The sequence below is a fragment of the Homo sapiens genome, chromosome 1, assembly GCF_000001405.40.
Source record: "Homo sapiens chromosome 1, GRCh38.p14 Primary Assembly".
NCBI classification, from domain to species: domain Eukaryota; kingdom Metazoa; phylum Chordata; class Mammalia; order Primates; family Hominidae; genus Homo; species Homo sapiens.
The window spans coordinates 23,888,137-23,906,527 of record NC_000001.11 but is presented as its reverse complement, the minus strand read 5'-3'; the positions used below and the strand labels follow the sequence as shown (position 1 = coordinate 23,906,527).

General features: G+C 48.6%; 1 protein-coding gene and 1 pseudogene across 2 annotated transcripts in view, besides 5 other annotated features; both read left to right on the top strand.

The window, feature by feature from the left end:
• CNR2 (cannabinoid receptor 2) overlaps positions 1-18,391 on the top strand; it is a 42,848-nt gene that overhangs the window by 6,835 nt on the left and 17,622 nt on the right. The window contains exon 1 of one of the 2 annotated variants that reach the window (XM_011540629.4): positions 16,006-18,152. The exons of the other annotated variant lie outside the window; for it this stretch is intronic. The gene's annotated coding sequence lies outside the window, so the exon portion shown is untranslated. Of the gene's footprint in view, positions 1-16,005; positions 18,153-18,391 lie in introns of those variants that run through there. 2 annotated transcript variants of the gene reach the window in all.
• Positions 1,401-1,480: an enhancer, noted in NCBI's record as "active region_382". NCBI's record gives its function as "activates an Ori minimal core promoter by ATAC-STARR-seq in GM12878 lymphoblastoid cells {active_cell/tissue: GM12878}" and the evidence as "EXISTENCE:reporter gene assay evidence [ECO:0000049][PMID:35858748]".
• Positions 3,520-5,479, top strand: BTBD6P1 (BTB domain containing 6 pseudogene 1; annotated as a pseudogene).
• Positions 9,191-9,320: an enhancer, noted in NCBI's record as "active region_381". NCBI's record gives its function as "activates an Ori minimal core promoter by ATAC-STARR-seq in GM12878 lymphoblastoid cells {active_cell/tissue: GM12878}" and the evidence as "EXISTENCE:reporter gene assay evidence [ECO:0000049][PMID:35858748]".
• Positions 9,371-9,430: an enhancer, noted in NCBI's record as "active region_380". NCBI's record gives its function as "activates an Ori minimal core promoter by ATAC-STARR-seq in GM12878 lymphoblastoid cells {active_cell/tissue: GM12878}" and the evidence as "EXISTENCE:reporter gene assay evidence [ECO:0000049][PMID:35858748]".
• Positions 17,415-17,524: an enhancer, noted in NCBI's record as "active region_379". NCBI's record gives its function as "activates an Ori minimal core promoter by ATAC-STARR-seq in GM12878 lymphoblastoid cells {active_cell/tissue: GM12878}" and the evidence as "EXISTENCE:reporter gene assay evidence [ECO:0000049][PMID:35858748]".
• Positions 18,025-18,254: an enhancer, noted in NCBI's record as "active region_378". NCBI's record gives its function as "activates an Ori minimal core promoter by ATAC-STARR-seq in GM12878 lymphoblastoid cells {active_cell/tissue: GM12878}" and the evidence as "EXISTENCE:reporter gene assay evidence [ECO:0000049][PMID:35858748]".

The following is an 18,391-nucleotide window of genomic DNA, read 5'->3' as shown; positions in this document are numbered from 1 at the left end:
TAGGAAAACAAAAAAAAAAAGTTAGAGAAAAATTTTAAACAATACACTTATTGTAAATAGTACATTTTATTTAAAATCACTTCCTTTTTCATGGGCCATAGAAAATTATGAAATGGCTCGAGTAGTTTCCACTGGGGTTTGTAAAATTAAGTTTTCTATGTCCCATACATACTGTTTAATCCTCACAACAGTCCTGAGTGGAGGTATTTTCATTATTCCCATTTTACAGACAAGGACAGTGGGGCTCAAGGAGACGACGTAATTTGCACGAGAGAACACAGCTTTAATAAGGGGCAGGAGGTGGGTACAGTGGTGTGGGCCTGGAGTCCCACTGCTAGAGAGTCTGAGGGGGGAAGACAGCTTAAGCCTAGTTCTCCAAAAAACATCAGAGTGGGAGCAGAATCAGAATCACAACTATGACTCAGGCTGCCTCTGTCTACCTATTTCCTCCTTATTCTCAGTTGGTTCCGAGGGTAAGTTCAGGACCAACTGAGAATCTGTGTTCAGAACCAACTGAGAATCTCTTTTACACAGAACAGGAACAGGAACTAGAAATCCAGGCCACCTTGCAAGTTTGGCTCCCGAGGCCTGAGATTGGCTTGATAGAGTGTCCCGTGATCCCGCTAGATCCCAAATCCCAGGCCAGAGATTGCAACATGTGTTCTTTGTTATGGTCCCAGGGACCAAAAGCCAACAGATGCACAAATGCACCTTAATTAATTCTATTAGAGAGAGGTAGAAGGAACTTACAGGAGGATCAGCTCCCCAGATGTCTGGCCTATCCCTGGCTGTTCCTCGTCTCTCCGTGGCCTGAGTCCTCATGCCAGGTTTAATTCATCCATCAGCCTCTGCCCAGCTTGTCCCTTTGTCCCCTCCAGCCCCTTTGCCACCACTCACAGATCTTATCAGCCCCATGAGTCAAGCCTCTCTGCTGATGCTGGTTTCCCCAACTACAGAACAGGAGTGATACTAGTCCCCCATCATGGATTTGTTGTGTAGAATATATAAATTAATATATAAATATATATAATATATAAAGTGCAAAGATGGCTGGGCGCGGTGGCTCATGCCTGTAATCCCAGAACTTTGGGAGGCCAAGGCAGGTGGATCACCTGAGGTCAGGAGTTTGAGACAAGCCTGGCCAACATGGTGAAACCCCATCTCTACTAAAAATACAAAAGCTAGCTGGCGTGGTGTCGGGTACCTGTAATCCCAGCTACTTGGGAAGCTGAGGCAAGAGAATCGATTGAACCCGGGAGGCGGAGGTTGCAGTGAGCCGAGATGCACTACACTCCAGCCTGGGCAACAGGGCCAGACTCATCTCAAAAAAAAAAAAAGAAAGAAAAGAAAAGAAAAGTTAAGTGCAGAGAATAGTGCCTGACACACGGTATACAGTAGGTGCAATTTCAGTATTAGTTGCTACTATTGTCATAATCACCAGAGTGTTTCAAGAGCTGAGCCTCCATGGCTCTCCACATCGCTTCACAAACTCCCCTGTTCTGGGAACCAGCCTGAATTGCAACCTCAACCCCCGACTGATGCAACCCTATAAGCAAACCAGAATCATGGCTGGGGTAGGGGCTCTACCCTTTGGGATCTGGCCAAACCAGGAAGAGGTAGAGTGGCCTGGAGGCAAACCACAGGTGATTCAGAATGTTCACCACGTGGTTAACCCTGTCTTACTCCTGCTTTAGAGAGAAGCCACCATGAAAAGTCCTCATCATCAGGGGACAGACCTCTCTGTTCCCTGGTTATAATGCCTTACTTTGTATGAAAGTTTCCTTTCCTACAGAGAGCACTTCATGGACAGAATGGGTGACTGGCCACTTCCAGGTGTGATTTTAACAATGCTCCTCCCACCCCCAGACAAATGCATACTTCCCGATGGCTGACAGATTTCACAGTAACAGGCTACCCTCAGGGTGAAAGAGATCCACACATGCTTATCAGTCATTTATGCTGTAATATCACAGAGCATCAAATAATTTTCTGTAGTAGACTTTCTTTGAAAGAGGGAGATAGGCCTTTTAGTTCTTGTTATAAAAATGAAGATTAGCTAGGTGCAGTGGCTCACACTTGTAATCCCAGCACTTGGAAGCAGCACCAGGCCGATCACCTGAGGTCAGGAGTTCGAGACCAGCCTGGCCAACATGGTGAAGCCTTGTCTCTAATAAAAATACAAAAAAATTGGCTGGGCATGGTGGCAGGCGCCTGTAATCCCAAGCTACTCGGGAGGCTGAGCCGGAAGAATCACTTGAACCCGGGAAGCAGAGGTTGTAGTGAGCCGAGATCGCACCACTGCACTCCAGCCTGGGTGACAGAGCGAGACTCCAAAAAAAAAAAAAAAAACAATGAAACGAACAAAAAAACCAGAGTTCTGAGTGACATCACCTGGATCACAAAGGAGCTCCCTAGTGGGGCAAAGCTAAGATTCCTGTCTTCAGGCAGTGTGAACTCTGGAATCTGGTAAAGCAGAAAATCGGGAGCCCAAATGCAATTTTTTAACATTTCAAAGGGCCCCCCAGAAAGATTAGAGAGAAGTCCCCGGGAGAAAGCCGCAGGAGCCAGCTGAGCAACTAGGAGGCAGGCTCCTGTGACAGTTGCAGACCTGGGCACAGGTTTGGGTTCACATCGGGCTCTGCCCTTTTGTGCAACCTCAGACAAGTCACTGCATCTTTGCGCCTCCGTCTCCTTGTCTGCAAAACAGAGATGATGATAATAGGACCACCCTTCCTGACTTACTGTGAGGATTAATTGCATTTTACACAACTAGCTATTGTTAAAGTGAAGCTCCCCACAATCCCATTTTCACCCTTGCATTTATGGCCTGGCAGGTTAGGTTCTGCAAGGCTGTTTCACAGATACTATGAGGAGCACTTTTGATATGTTAACCTAGGCATGCCCTTCTTACTGACGCACGTTAAAAAGAAATGCTTTTTTTTTTTTTTTTGACAAAGCCTGGGGTCTCACTCTGTCACCCAGGCTGGAGTGCAGTGGCACATCACGGCTAGCTGTAGCTTCAACCACCTGGGCTCAAGTGGTCCTCCCACCTCAGCCTCCCAAGTGCCTGGGACCACAGGCATGAACCACTACCCCTGGCTAATTTTTTTTTATTTGTAGAGGCGGGGTCTTCCTATGTTGCCCAGGCTTGTCTTGAACTCCTGGGCCCAACCGCTCCTCCCACCTCAGCCTCCCAAATTGCTGGGATTACAGGTGTGAATCACTGCACCCGGCCTCACTTTGAAAATTAGAAAGCAGGTTACCCTCCTTGAGGATGCTGGCATGTGTCAGAGAGAATACCTCCAACCAATCCATTAAAAAGCAGTTATTGCTGCGGCCAGGCCTGGCCCGGCTGCGCTAGGCTAGGCTCTGGCAGGATCGCAGGGGCGGGGGTGGTAGGGGCACGGGTGGCAGCCCCGCGGGTCGCAGCGCCGCCGCCGCCGCCGCCCATGAATGGTGCTGCCCCTGGCCTGCCATCACCGCCGCGTCGCTCAGCGCCCGACCTCCCTGCTTTTGCTTGCAGAGCCGCTCCCGAGGCCCCGGCGCGGCGCGAGGGCGCGGGGCGGGGGTCCACAGGCTCCGAGGCTGCCCCCGACGCCCCGCCCTCGAGGATGGCGGCGGAGCTCTACGTCCCCGCCAGCGCCGCGGCCGCGGTCCTAGCCCACAGCAACGCCGGCGCCGCCGTGGGCAGGAAGGCCGGGCAGCGCAGCCTGCACCGCGCCCCCGCGCCCGCGCCCGCGCAGCCCACACTTGGCAACAACCACCCGGAGAGCCCCAAATGGCGCGGTCCCCCACGCTGCGCGAGAGGAACGCGCTCATGTTCAACAACGAGCTCGTGGCCGACGTGCACTTTGTCGTGGGACCCCCGGGGGCGACCAGGACGGTGCCCGCCCACAAGTACGTCCTGGCTGTCTGCAGCTCCGTCTTCTATGCCATGTTCTACTGGGACCTGGCGGAAGTCAAATCTGAAATTCACATTCCAGACGTGGAGCCCGCAGCCTTTCTGATCCTATTAAAGTACGTGTACAGTGATGAGATCGATCTGGAAGCGGATACGGTGCTGGCCACTCTGTAGGCTGCTAAGAAGTACATCGTCCCAGCATTGGCAAAAGCCTGCGTCAACTTTCTGGGGACAAGTCTGAAAGCCAAGAACGCCTGCGTCCTGCTGTCCCAGAGCCGGCTGTTTGAGGAGCCCGACCTGACCCAGCGCTGCTGGGAGGTCATCGACGCACAGGCCGAGATGGCCCTGCGGTCCCAAGGCTTCTGTGAGATGGACCGGCAGACGTTGGAGATCATTGTCACTCGGGAGGCCCTCAACACCAGGAGGCGGTGGTCTTCAAGGCCGTCCTGAACTGGGCCAAGGCAGAGTGCAAGAGGCAGGGGCTGCCAGTCACCCCACGAAACAAGAGGCATGTTTTGGGGCGAGCCCTCTATCTGATCCGAATTCCAACCATGACCCTAGAGGAGTTTGCCAACGGCGCTGCCCAGTCAGACATCCAGACATCCTGACTCTGGAGGAGACCCACACCATCTTCCTGTGGTACACGGCCACCAACAAGCCCCGCCTGGACTTCCCCCTGATCAAGAGGAAGGGCCTCACCCCGCAGAGGTGCCACCTATTCCAGTCTTCTGCCTACCGCAGCAACCAATGCCAGTACTGCGGGCGCTGCGACAGCATCCAGTTTGCAGTGGACAGAAGGGTATTTATTGCGGGGCTAGGCCTGTGTGGGTCCAGCTCTGGGAAGGCTGAGTACAGCGTGAAGATTGAGCTCAAGAGGCTTGGGGTAGTTCTGGCTCAGAATCTGACCAAATTCATGTCGGACAGATCCAGTAACACCTTCCCGGTCTGGTTTGAACACCCGGTCCAGGTTGAACAAGACACCTTCTACATGGCCAGTGCTGTTCTGGACGGCAGCAACCTCAGCTACTTTGGGCAGGAGGGGATGACGCAAGTGCAGTGCAGAAAGGTGGCCTTCCAGTTCCAGTGCTCCTCGGACAGCACCAACGGGACTGGGGTCCAGGGTGGGCAGATCCCTGAGCTCATCTTCTATGCCTGAGGTGCCCGGGGAGGCTGCAGCAGGTCGGCGAGTGGATGGAGGGGAAATCAGGACACTAACTGCTTCTTGACACCATGAAAGGCCACACTTAACCTTGTCTCTCTTTGGCATGTAGTCAACTGAAGCTTGATTCTGTGAAGTAGGCACCTTTTCCACACAGCCAGAGCTGGGGGATTGGAGTCTTAGGCATCTCTGGTACACTGGGGTGCACGTCTCAGGTGGAGGAAGATTTAGGGCACAAGACAGGCCCCAGATCCCCTCCCAATGGCACCCATGCCACCTGCTTTGAGGGGTTGCATGTTCCTGCCACCCTCTTGGATACTAAGTGGTTCCAAGCTTAACTGTAGACCTTCCCTTCAAATCTAAAATCGGCAAAAAGTCACTTAAAATAAGGGACTTCTGTAATAAAGGTTGCCTACAATTAAAAAAAGAAAGAGTTACTGAGCAGTGACCATGGGTGAGGCAGGTGCACTTAAGATACGGGAGTGAACAAAACAAATAATAAGCCTTAACTCCCTTGGAGCGACCATTCTAGTGTCCTATTACTCAAATCAGTCTCCCCCAGCATTCGAGGATCAGAGATTTTAAGGACAATTTGGTTGGTAGCTGGAAACGTGGCTCGGTAAAATGGTCCAAGGTGGGAAGGATAAAAATGAGATTAGGGAGGCCAGGCACGGTGGCACATGCCTGTAATCTCAGCACTTTGGGAGGCCAAGGCGGGCGGTTCACCTGAGGTTGGGAGTTCAAGACCAGCCTGATCAACATGGAGAAACCCCATTTCTACTAAAAATACAAACTTGGCCAGGCGTGGTGGCACATGCCTGTAATCCCAGCTACTTGGGAGGCTGAGGCAAGAGAATTGCTTGAACCTGGGAGGCGGAGGTTTCAGTGAGCCGAGATTGCACCATTGCACCCTAGCCTGGGCAACAAGAGTGAAACTGTCTCAAAAAAAAAAAAAAAAAAAAAGAGATCAGGGAAGAGATGGTTGCCCAGAAGTATAAGAGAGACCCCATGCCCCTCCGTCTATAAGCCTCTAGGGGTTCACCTTGCCTGCCGCCTAGACAGAGCCGATTCATCAAGACAGGAGAATTGCAATAGAGAAAGAGTAATTTATGCAGAGCTGGCTGTGCGGGAGACCGGAATTTTATTATTACTCAAATCAGTCTCCACCAGCATTCAAGGATCAGAGTTTTTAAGGACAGTTTGTTTGGTTGCGGGGAGCCAGTGAGCCAGGAGTGCTGATTGGCCAGGGATGAAATCACAGGGGGTCGAAGCTGTCCTCTTGCGCTGAGTCAGTTCCTGGGTGGGGGCCACAAGATCACATGAGCCAGTTTATGGATTTGGGTGGTGCCAGCTGATCCATCAAGTGCAGGGTCTGCAAAGTATCTCAAGCACTGATCGCAGGAGCAGTTTAGGGAGGGTCAGAATCTTGTAGCCTCCAGCTGCATGACTCCTAAACCTTCCTTCCTTTCTTTCTTTCTTTTCTTTCTTTCTTTCCTTTCTTTCTTTCTTTCCTTTCTTTCTCTTTCCTTTCTTTCTCTTTCTTTCTCTTTCTTTCTTTCTCTTTCTTTCTTTCTCTTTCTTTCTTTCTCTCTCTCTCTTTCCTTCCTTCCCTCTTTCTTTCTTTTCTTTCTTTTTTTTCTTTTCTTTCTTTCTTTCTGACAGAGACCCCTCTGTCGCCCAGGCTGGAGTGCAGTGACGCAATCTCAGCTCACTGCACCCTCCACCTTCCAGGTTCAAGTGATTCTTCTGCCTCCCCCTCTCGAGTAGCTGGTATTACAGCATGCACCACCACACCTGGCTAACTTTTGTATTTTTAGTGGAGGCGGAGTTTCAGCATGTTGGCCAGGCTGGTCTTACCTCCTGACCGCAAGTGATCCACCCGCCTCAGCCTCCCAAAGTGCTGGGATTACAGGCGTGAACTACCACACCAGACCCTAAACCATAATTTCTAATCTTGTGCCTAATATTAGTCCTACAAAGGCAATCTAGTCCCCAGCCAAGAAGGAGGTGTACTTTGGGAAAGGGCTGTTATTGTCTTAGTTTTAAACTAAGTTTCTCCCAAAGTTAGTTCAGCCCAGGAATGAACAAGGACACCTTGGAGGTTAGAAGCAAGATGGAGTCAGTTAAGTTAGATCTCTTTCACAGTCTCAGTCATAATTTTGCAAAGGTGGTTTCACATCTAGGCTGCCCAACTTCTGTGGTCAGGGTCTGGCACCAGATATATGAGTCTGAATTCTGACTCTGCCATTTACAAACTTTGTGACCTCGGCAAATCCAGTCTAGCTGAGCCTCTGGTTCCTCATAGATAAGATCGTGAAAATGAGACAGTCTATCTCCAAGGGCAGTTTGGAGGATAAAGGAGACAGCGCATTTCTTTGTGGTAACATTTAAAATCTACTCTTTTAGCAATTTTGATACGTGTATCATAATATCACATTGTATTCCATAAATATATACAATTATTATTTGTCCATCAAAAATAGAATGAAAACATTTAAAAATAATATATAGTACGGGCCAGGTGTGGTGGCTCACGCCTGTTATCCCAGCACTTTGGTAGGTGGAGGTGGTTGGATCACCTGAGGTCAGGAGTTGGAGACCAGCCTGGCCAACATGGTGAAACCCCGTCTCTACTAAAAATACAAAAATTAGCTGGGCATGGTGGTGCACATCTGTAATCCCAGCTACTCAGGAGGCTGAGGCAGGAAAATCACTTGAACCTGGGAGGCGGAGCTTGCAGTGAGCCAAGATCGTGCCACTGCACTCCAGCCTGGGCAGCAGAGTGAGACTTTGTCTCAAAAAAAAAAAAAAAAAAAAAAAAAAAAATTGGCCAGGCGTGGTGGCTCAAGCCTGAATCCCAGCACTTTGGGAGGCTGAGGCAGGCGGATCACAAGGTCAGGGGATCGAGACCATCCTGGTTAACTCGGTGAAACCCCGTCTCTACTAAAAATGCAAAAAATTAGCCGGGCGTGGTGGTGGGCGCCTGTAGTCCCAGCTGCTTGGGAGGCTGAGGCAGGAGAATGGTGTGAACCTGGAAGGCGGAGCTTGCAGTGAGCTGAGATCATACCACTGCACTCCAGCCTGGGCAACAGAACAAGACTCCATCTCAAAAAAAAAAAAAAAAAAAAAAAAGCCGGGCGCGGTGGCTCACGCCTGTAATCCCAGCACTTTGGGAGGCTGAGGCGGGCGGATCACAAGGTCAGGAGATCAAGACCATCCTGGCTAACATGGTGAAACCCTGTGTCTACTAAAAATACAAAAAAATAATAAAAAAATAGCTAGGCATGGTGGCGGGTGCCTGTAGTCCCAGCTACTTGGGAGGCTGAGGCAGGAGAATGGCGTGAACCCAGGAGGCGGAGCTTGCAGTGAGCCAAGATCGCACCACTGCACTCCAGCCTGGGTGACAGAGTGAGACTCCATCTCAAAAACAAACAAAAAATAAAAATAAAAATAAATATATAGTATGGATTTGAACAACAACAGAAAAGGACACAGTGCTTGTAAAAGGCCTTTCACAGTGCCTGCCACAAAGGAAGCACTCAGGAGAGAGTGGCAAATTTATTTTCTTCACATAGTTAAACCACAACAACATATTGCAACAGTTTGCATGCTGAAGCAGAGATAAGAATCCAGCTGCCTTCTCATAAACCAGACAATTAAAGAGATTTGCCACAAAAAGTTATTTTCATTTAAAAATATGTTACTTCAGGGCGGGCGTGGTGGCTCATGCCTGTAATCCCAGCACTTTGGGAGGCTAAGGCGGGTGGATCACAAGGTCAGGAGTTCAAGACCAGCCTGGCCAACATAGTGAAACCCTGTCTCTACTAAAAACACAAAAATTAGCCAGGTGTGGTGGTCCCAGCTACTCAGGAGGCTGAGGTGGAAGAATTGCTTGAAACCGGGAGGCAGAGTTTGCATTGAACCGAGATCGCACCACTGCACTCCAGCTTGGGTGACAGACTGAGACTCGGTCTCAAAAAAAAAAATTCTATTAACATGCAATAGGATTATTAATTTTTTTTAAGTTCTCAGTTTTAGTCTCTAATACAGCAAGTACTAATAGGTGTAACCTACATCAACAAAAGCTATTTATTGCCAAGGTAACTTTTAAGACGGTAAAGGGTCGCTGAGACCACGAAGTTTGAGAACTTCTGCCCCAGGCTTTCGTGATCTGCCTTTCTCTCGCCAGCTCTTTTGCAATCTGACAACACCCCTGTTTTCTGCCCCATGTGATTAATTGCATAACTGCCATGTTTGAAGGACCTTTTGAGATCTCATCAAAAAACCACTCCTGGCAGGGTGCAGTGGCTCACACCTGTAATTCCAGCACTTTGGGAGGCTGAGGCGGGTGGATCACCTGAGGTCAGGAGTTCAAAACCAGCCTGGCCAAAATAGTGAAACCCCATCTCTACTAAAAATAGAAAAATGGTGGCAGGCACCTGTCATCCCAGCTATTTGGGAGGCTGAGGCAGGAAAATTGCTTGAAGCTGGAAGGAGGCAGCTGCAGTGAGCTGAGATCTCGCCACTGTATTCCAGCCTCCAGCCTAGGTGACAGAGCAAGACTCTAGAAGAAAAAAAAAAAAAAACACTCCTGGTGCAGATGGACCTACTGAGAAGGAGGCTATTGTGCCTGAGGTTACACAGCCATCAGTTCCACCTGGGACTGGAACCAGCATCCTTCCTATCTCCTTAATCCAGGGCTCTCGTCATGACGGCAAGCTAGCAGGTGCTCCCTGGCACAATCTCAGCTTCCTGTTCTTTCATCTCTAAAAGTCTTGAGTGGAGACAGGGTCTTCCCCCTCTGCTTTCCTGTCCCACCCTTCCCTCCTGCCTCTCATCTCCCTCTTTGACACTCCTCCTACCAGCCCAAGGGCACAATAGAGATGACATCGTCACTCTCATTGGTTACCAACTAGCAAAGAACTTGAGAAAGTGAGGAGAAAGCTCTAATGTGTTCACATATATAGCATCTATATAAGCTGCCATTCATGGAGGGCTTAGTGTGTGGCAGGCACTGTATTAGGCCTGAGCTAACTCAGTTAGTCTTCATGCCTCCCCACCACTGATGAGACAAGTACTACTTGTTACTCCTGTTTTATGGATGAGGGAACTGAATGAAAGAGATGAATGAAGTGAGTGTCTTTACTTGAGAACAAAAAGCTAATAGTACTTGGCAGAGCCAAGATCGGAACTCAGTGCTATCTGACTCCAAAGCCCAACAGCCTGATGGGTAAATCCTTGTCGGTGAGAAGGTCCAGACTCCACCAGTAAGGTGGGGAAAGGACTAAAGTCTAGGGCCTGGCAGGGTGTGGTGGCTCATGCCCGTAATCTGAGCATGAACTTTGGGAGACCAAGGCGGGAGGATCACTTAAGGCCAGGAGTTTGAGACAAGCCTGGGTGATATAGTGAGACCCCATCTCTACAAAAAGTAAATAATAATAACAATAACTCAAGGCCAGCTAATGGTAGCAATGAAGGCATTACTGAGAAAAAATGGTCAGAAAAATAAAAGTCAAAAAGAGAGAGAAAATAGATGGGATTTGCCCCTGGAAATAAAGACAAAAGATTGTGCGTGGTATCAGGGCCCCTCACCCTATGCAGAGTCATGCATTCCATCCTGCCTCTTTACCAATCTGACCTTGTCATGACACAAGGACTTAAGTCCTGGCCGGGCACGGTGGCTCACGCTGTAATCCCAGCACTTTGGGAGGCCGAGGAGGGCGGATCAAGAGGTCAAGAGATCAAGACCATCCTGGCCAATATGAAACCCCGTCTCCACTAAAAATACAAAAAATTAGTTGAGTGTGGTGGCGCGCACCTGTACTCCCAGCTACTCGGGAGGCTGAGGGAGGAGAATCTCTTGAACCCGGGATTTGGAGGTTGCAGTGAGCTGAGATCACGCCACTGCACTCCAGCCTGGTGATAGAGCGAGACTCTGTCTCAAAAAAAGAGAGAGAAAAAAAAGGACTCAGGTCCTGGCTTTGTCCGCCACTTGCTATGGGTTTTTGGGCAAAGGACTTGCCCCCTCTGAATCTATTTGCTCATGGAATAGTTGAGCAAAACCTGCCTCACATAATAGCCGTGAGCCTTCCCAGGCTGTGTAAATTGTCAAGTATGTTATGAATGTAAGCATTATTAGTCCATTCTCTAAAAGAGAAGTTGCTGAATTATAAAATAATTGAAAGAGGAAGAAGATATTTGGAAAGACTCAACAAAACTGTCCTGTTGGCAGATTTCTTTTCTTTTTTTTTCTGAGTTTTGCTCTGTCACCCAGGCTGGAGCACAGTGGCGTGACCTTGGATCACTGCAACCTCCACCTCCTGGGTTCAAGCGATTCTCCTGCCTCAGCCTCCAAGTAGCTGGGATTATAGGCACACGCCACCATGCCTGGTTAATTTTTTTGTATTTTTAGTAGAGATGGGGTTTTGCCATGTTGGCCAGGCTGGTCTCAAACTCCTGACCTCAGGTGATCCGCCCACCTCAGCCTCCCAAAGTGCTAGGATTAGAGGTGTGAGCCACCATGCCCGGCAGTGTTGCAGATTTCTAATTAGTCAGTTAATTTACCAAGTATTTGTTTGGAGATGGGAGGGGAGAATGCAAAGCAACTGGATGGGATCCTAGTTTTCAAATAAATGGACAAGAGAGTGGATTCCCAATGTCCCCAGCAAGTTTCTTTTTCTTTCTTTCTTTCTTTTTTTTTTTGAGACAAAATTTCACTCTGTTGCCCAGGGTGGAGTGCAGTGGCAGGATCGTGGCTCACTGCAGCCTCTGCTTCCCAGGTTCAAGTGATTCTCCTGCCTGGCTGATTTTTTTATTATTATTATTTATAATACAGATGGGGTTTCACGGTGTTGGCCAGGCTGGTCTCGAACTCCTGACCTCAAGTGCTCCACCATCTTGGCCTCCCAAAGTGCTGGGATTACAGGTGTGAGCCACTGTGCCTGGCCAACTTTCTTTCCCTCCCTTCCTTCCTTCCTTCCTAGCTTCCTTCCTTCCTTGCTTCCTTCCTTCCTTCCTTCCTTTTATTAAAAAAATTTTTTTTTTTTGAGACAGAGTTTCACTTTTGTTGCCCAGGCTGCAGTGCAATGGCATGATCTCAGCTCAGTGCAACCTCCACCTCCCAAGTTCAAGTGATTCTCCTGCCTCAGCCACCCGAGTAGTTAGGATTACAGGCGAGCCACAACGCCCAGTTACTTTTGTATTTTTTACTGTAGAGATGAAGTTTCACCATGTTGGTCAGGCTGGTCTTGAACTCCTGACCTCTGGCGATCCACCCACCTCGGCCTCCCAAAGTATTGGGATTACAGGCATGAGCCACTGTGCCCAGTCCCTTTTTTTTTTTTTAATTTGAGACAGGGTCTGCTCTGTCACTCAGGCTAGAGTGCAGTGGTGTGATCACGGCTCACTGCAGCTTCACTCTCCTGGGCTCCAGCAATCCACCACCTCAGCTTCCTGAGTGGCTGGGACTACAGGCACACAACACCATGCCCAGCTAATTTTTGTATTTTTTGTAGAGATGGAGTTTCATGTTACCCGGGCTGGTCTCTAAGCCCTGGGCTCAAGTGATCTGCCCACCTCAGCCTCCCAAAGTGCTGGGACTACAGGTATGAGCCATGGTACCCAGCCCCCAGAAAGTTTCTTAACATTCCTGAGCCCCAATTTCTTCATCTATAAAATACAGAAAATAATAAGATTCTTGAAGGGTTGTTTTGAGATTTAAATGAGATAATGTGTAGAAAGTGCTAGCACAGTGCCAAGCACTCATCGTTATCCCCCAATCTTCTTTACAAATGGCAATACTGGGACAAGAGAGAGTAGGTGGCTTCTGGATAGATCCAGCTGGTGCCAGAGCCAGGGCTCAAACCCTGAGCACCTGAGATTCCGAACTCAGGACTGTTTTCTTTCCACCACATCCAACACTCTTGATAGTTCAATCAGGCAACCAATCTCCTGCTTAATTAGTTTTAAATAATTATTTAATCTGCACATACAGAACATAGGGATTAGTTTCCCCATTCACAGAGGAAGAAACTGAAGCTCAGAGAGTTTGAGTAACTTTCCCCAAGGTCACACAGCCTATCAGTGGCCGACCTGAGATTTGAACTCAGTGATGTTTCCTTCTAAAGCCTTGGCACTTAACCTTGACTAAAGTGGAAAGAGGCCTCAGACATCATTTAGCTCTGCTCTGCCCAGGAGAGAGGCTGGAGATGATGATGCAGAAGGAAGGTCCAGGAAAGGTCTGGGGAGACTGAGTGAATCCAGACAGCCTGGGTGGGGGTGATGAATGGTGAGTGGACAGCAGGCTGGGGATGGAATCCTTCGGCCCCACAGGGAAGACTGAGTTTCTTTGATAACCCGTAGACATTAGAGAAAGGGACTATAGATAGAAGACCTTAATAACAATCCTTTGCTCTTAACCTATACATTACACATTCTTTCCTTTTATTTTTTTGAGACAGAGTCTCGCTCTGTCGCCCAGGCTGAAGTGCAATGGTGCGATCTCTGCTCGCTGCAACCTCCACCTCACAGGCTCAAGTGATTCTCCTGCCTCAGCCTCCCAAGTAGCTGGGATTACAGGCACCCACCACTACTCCTGGCTAATTTTTGTAGTTTTAGTAGAGACAGGGTTTCACCATGTTGGCCAGGCTGGTTTCTAACTCCTGACCTCAAATGATCCGCCTGCCTCGGCCTCCCAAAGTGCTGGGATTACAGCATGAGCCACCACCCCCAGCCTACACATTCTTTCCTTAAAAAGAGTAGAGGTGGCTACATTATAAATTGGGGCAGTTAAAATAAAAGCAAGGCATTAGAAACCACTAAAAGGAGCAATAAATAAATCAAGAACCGACCTTGAATGGCCCTGTGACTGCACTTCCACACTGCATTGAGCTCTGGGCTTGCTGGCAGCCAAGGGAAAAAGAAGCACAGAAGTGGGTCTGAAGAAGGCTGCTTTTCTCCTAATAGACATTCATTGATTCTATAAATCCATTTTAAATACTTAGATGCTTACTTTGTGCCAGGCTTCATGCCAGTTGAGGTGCTGGAAACCCCAGGAGGAATTTATTAAAGGAATTGACTCAGGAAACAACTCCTTTGCCAGCCCTTTTCATCTCTCCTCTAGGAAAGCTTCCATATTTTGCCTTATATCAATAAACCTCCCCTGGGACCTATATCACTAGAGAGATTTTAAGTTCCTTCCCTGCCCAGTGCTGTCCCACCTCCACTGCCAAACCCATTTTAGGAGTGACTGTCCTGGTGGCCTGTTCACAAGGTCAAGAGCCTGGGCAGGCACCATCCTTCTAGTTCACACTCTGCTTCAGGGCTGCTGCTTGTGGTTCCAACCTCTTTCTGCAAGTCTGGTTCTCCGGGCCAGGAACACTAGGGTGAGAAATATGGTCAGGCTCAGGAGGCACAAGGACTTGGAGTGGTGAGAAGTGTCTGTCATGGGCTTGGGATTGAGGAGTGGGAGCTTGAGGCCATCAAATTGCCTTGCCTGGCTGGGCTGAGTTCCATCTCCCCAAGACTGTTTTGCTCAGCTCTGGCTGCTATCAAAAGACCTCCACCAAGAGTCTACTGTGGGGATACCATTGTGCTAGGAGACACTTTTTTGAGCAAGTGAGATACAAAGATGACTCCACTCCCAGACCCAGATATTACTCACAAGACAAGGAGCTCACAATCCAGGAAGCAAGATGTGGAATGGACACATATAATACAAGGTAGACAGTGGTCTGTGCAGTAAGACTCAATAAAGGGAGACCAGAGAATGCTTCTTGGAGGAGGTGGGTTTTGCTATCAAAGTAGTTATAAAAAGAGGTAAGATTTGGGCTTTTTTTTTTTTTTTTTTTGAGATGGAGTTTTGCTCTTGTTGCCCAGGCTGGAGTGCAATGGCATGATCTCGGCTCACTGCAACCTCTGCCTCCCAGATTCAAGCAATTCTCCTGCCTCAGCCTCCCAAGTAGCTGGGATTACAGGCACCCACCACCACACTTGGCCAATTTTTGTATTTTTAGTAGAGGTGGGGTTTCACCATGTTGGCCAGGCTGGTCTCGAACTCCTGAACTCAGGTGATCTGCCTGCCTTAGCCTCCCAAAGTGCTGGGATTATAGGTGTGAGCCACCGTGCCTGGCCTGATTTGGATTTTCAGTATAATTCATAGGCTCACACACACACACACACACACACACACACAAAAGATTTGGTCAAAAAACCCCACAGTCTACAGCCCCAAATCCCAGAAAACTTTATTACAACTGCAATCAAGGGCTACAAAGAACAGAGGGAGGCCAGCCAGGAGCAGTGGCTCACGCCTGTAATCTCAACACTTTGGGAGGCTGAGGTGGGCAGATCACTTGAAGTCAGGAGTTCGAGAACAGGCTGGCCAACATGGTGAAACCATGTGTCCACTAAAAATACAAAAAATTATCCAGGTGTGGTGGCTCACGCCTATAATCCCAGCTACTTGGGTGGCTGAGGCACAAGAATTGCTTGAACCTGGGAAGTTGAGGTTGCAGTGAGCTGAGATCACACCACTGCACTCCAGCCTGGGCAACAGAACAACAATCTGTATTCAAAAAAAAAAAAAAGAAGAAGAAGACCAGAGGGGGACTAAGAGAAGAAACGTGGAAGGAAAGCCCCATGGCTGAACACTGCAGCAGGGGCCCAGCCAGCTGGGCAGCAGGTCAAGAGGGTCACTTTGATCTATTTCTTTTTTTTTTTTTTGAGACAGAGTCTCACTCTTGTTGCCCAGGCTGGAGTGCAGTGGCGCGATCTCGGCTCACTGCAAACTTCGCCTCCCGGATTCAAGCAATTCTCTTGCCTCAGCCTCCCGAGTAGCTGGGATTACAAGAGTGCACCACCACGCCCGGCTAATTTTGTATTTTTAGTAGAGATGGGGTTTCACCATGTTGGCCAGTCTGGTCTCAAACTCCGGACCTCAGGTGATCTGCCTGCCTCGGCCTCCCAAAGTGCTGGGATTATAAGCGTGAGCCACCTCGCCCAGCGGGTCTGTTTCTGATGGGTCATTCTTGCAGGTTGAACAAGTTTTCCAAAATGTGGTGGTTTGTCCTCAGTGGTGGCAAAGTGTCAGCTGAGAGTAAGTAGGGATTGTTCTATCTGCCTTGGCTCTCAGGCGAAGGTCAGGCATAGCTGGAGGACAGAATCCTTTTCTTCTTCTTCTTTTCTTTTCTTTTCTTTTTTTTTTTTTTTTGAGACAAGGTCTCACTCTGTAGCCCGGGCTAGAGCACAGTGGAACAATCACTGCTTACTGCAGCCGTGACTTCCTGGGCTCAAGTGATTCTCCTGCCTCAGTCTCCCCAGTAGCTGGGACTACATACATGCACCATGCCCAGCTAATTTTTGTATTTTTTGTAGAGATGGGGTTTTACCATGTTGGCCAGGCTATTCCTGGGCTCAAATAATCCACCTGTCTCTGCCTCCCAAAGTGCTGGGATTACAGGCAGAGCCCCCATGCCTGGCACAGAATCCTGTAAGAACACTATAAACTAACTCTATTAAGCATCTCCTGCCTTTGATTAGATACCTACTGTAAACCAGGTACAGTGACATGAATTTGGTAAACTTGTATCATTAATCTGTATAATCATGTGATATGGATAGTATTTCTCCCAGTTTACAAGTGAATGAAACAGAGGCTCAGAGAGGTGCAGTAAGGTGCCCAAGGTCACACATCCTGAAAGTTGCAGAGCTGAATTTTAATCCAGGAAGGTCTGGTTCCCAAACCTGTGACATTGTGATCCAACATGCTAAGTTTCCTCGAGGAGACCTTGGGAATCACCTCCATCAATCCAACTGCTTTGAAGATGAGAAAAGAAAGGCCCGGATGGTCAGGCAAGGTGGCTCATGTCTATAATCCCAACATTTTGGGAGGCTGAGGTGGAAGGACTGCTTGAGGCCAGGAGTTTGAGACCAGCCTGAGCAATATAGCAAGACACTATCTATATTTTTTTAATAGAAATCAAAGAAAGAAAAGAAAGGCCTTAGATAGGAAAAGGGACCTGCCTAAAGTCACTCAGTAGCAGGACAAGGACTAGAACCTAGGCTTCCCTACTCCCAGTTGGGGATAAAAACGGTGAGGCTTGTGGCATCAAATCTCAGCTTCCCACTGTAGGTGTGGTAGCCACAGGCAGGGTATCATTCTCTTCCTTACCTCCAGCTCTGAGAGATTTAAACCCAGCAGCAACGTGGGACCAGCCGCTACTGTGGCTTCTTTCACTTCACGCTTTCACTTCAGGTTAGAAAAACCCCCAGGCACACCTTTTCTGAGCAGGTTCTCAGGTCCCAAGTTTCCCTTCCCAGATGCTCAGTATGAACCAGGCTGTAGGCTGCAGCCCCTAACACCAGCCCCACCATGGACGCTCCCTATGTGAAGTGCCATATGGTTTCTGAACAGTGGTATTTTTGTTAGGTGAAGAAAGGACTTGGTCATGGTGGTTCACTTTTTTCTTTTTCTTCTTCTTTATTTATTTATTTATTTTTTTAAACTGAATCTAGCTTTATTGCCCAGGCTGGAGTGCAGTGGCGCAATCTCAGCTCACTGCAACCTCTGCCTCCTGGGTTCAAGTGATTCTCGTACTTCAGCCTCCCGAATAGCTGGGATTACAGGCACCTGCCCCCACTCCTGGCTAATTTTTGTATTTTTAGTAGACAGGGTTTCACCGTGTTGGCCAGGCTGGTCTCAAACTCCTGACCTCAAGTGATCTGCCCTCCTCGGCCTCCCAAAGTGCTGGGATTACAGGCGTGAGCCACCGCGCCTGGCCTTTTTTCTTTTTTAATCAGGCAGCCCAGAATAGGTTCAGAAAGACTCCCGCTTCTCTTTTACTCTTACATCTGTACAGCATCAGGTCACAAAATGTTTTTGCATGCATCGGTGATTCTTAATATTCAGAACTCTGCTGGCACACTGATAAAAAGTGTGAATCCTTCTACCCCAACCAAAACATGCACAGACATAAAGTCTTAAATATGCCTCGAAAGGACCGATACTCCCATCCAAGCCTACCCATGGACCCAGGGTAAGAAGCTATGATGGAGGTCATCAGCCCATTTGGCATCTCAAGGAGAATGGCATAGGTATTGTTACTGTCATTTTACAAATGAGAAAAGAAAAGGGGCTCAGAATGTTGAAGGGACTTGCCCAAAGTCACCTGATGAGCCATGGTGGAGGTGGAACTAGAACACTCTTCACTGTGGCAAACACTAAGTCTGTCTCTGTTGTGGGAAATTAAGGAACCAGAGAGACCGAACGGAGTGCAGGAAAGTGTCTATTTAAGGTGTACACTGGCTCAGTGGACATGTGTCCTGAAAGTCTG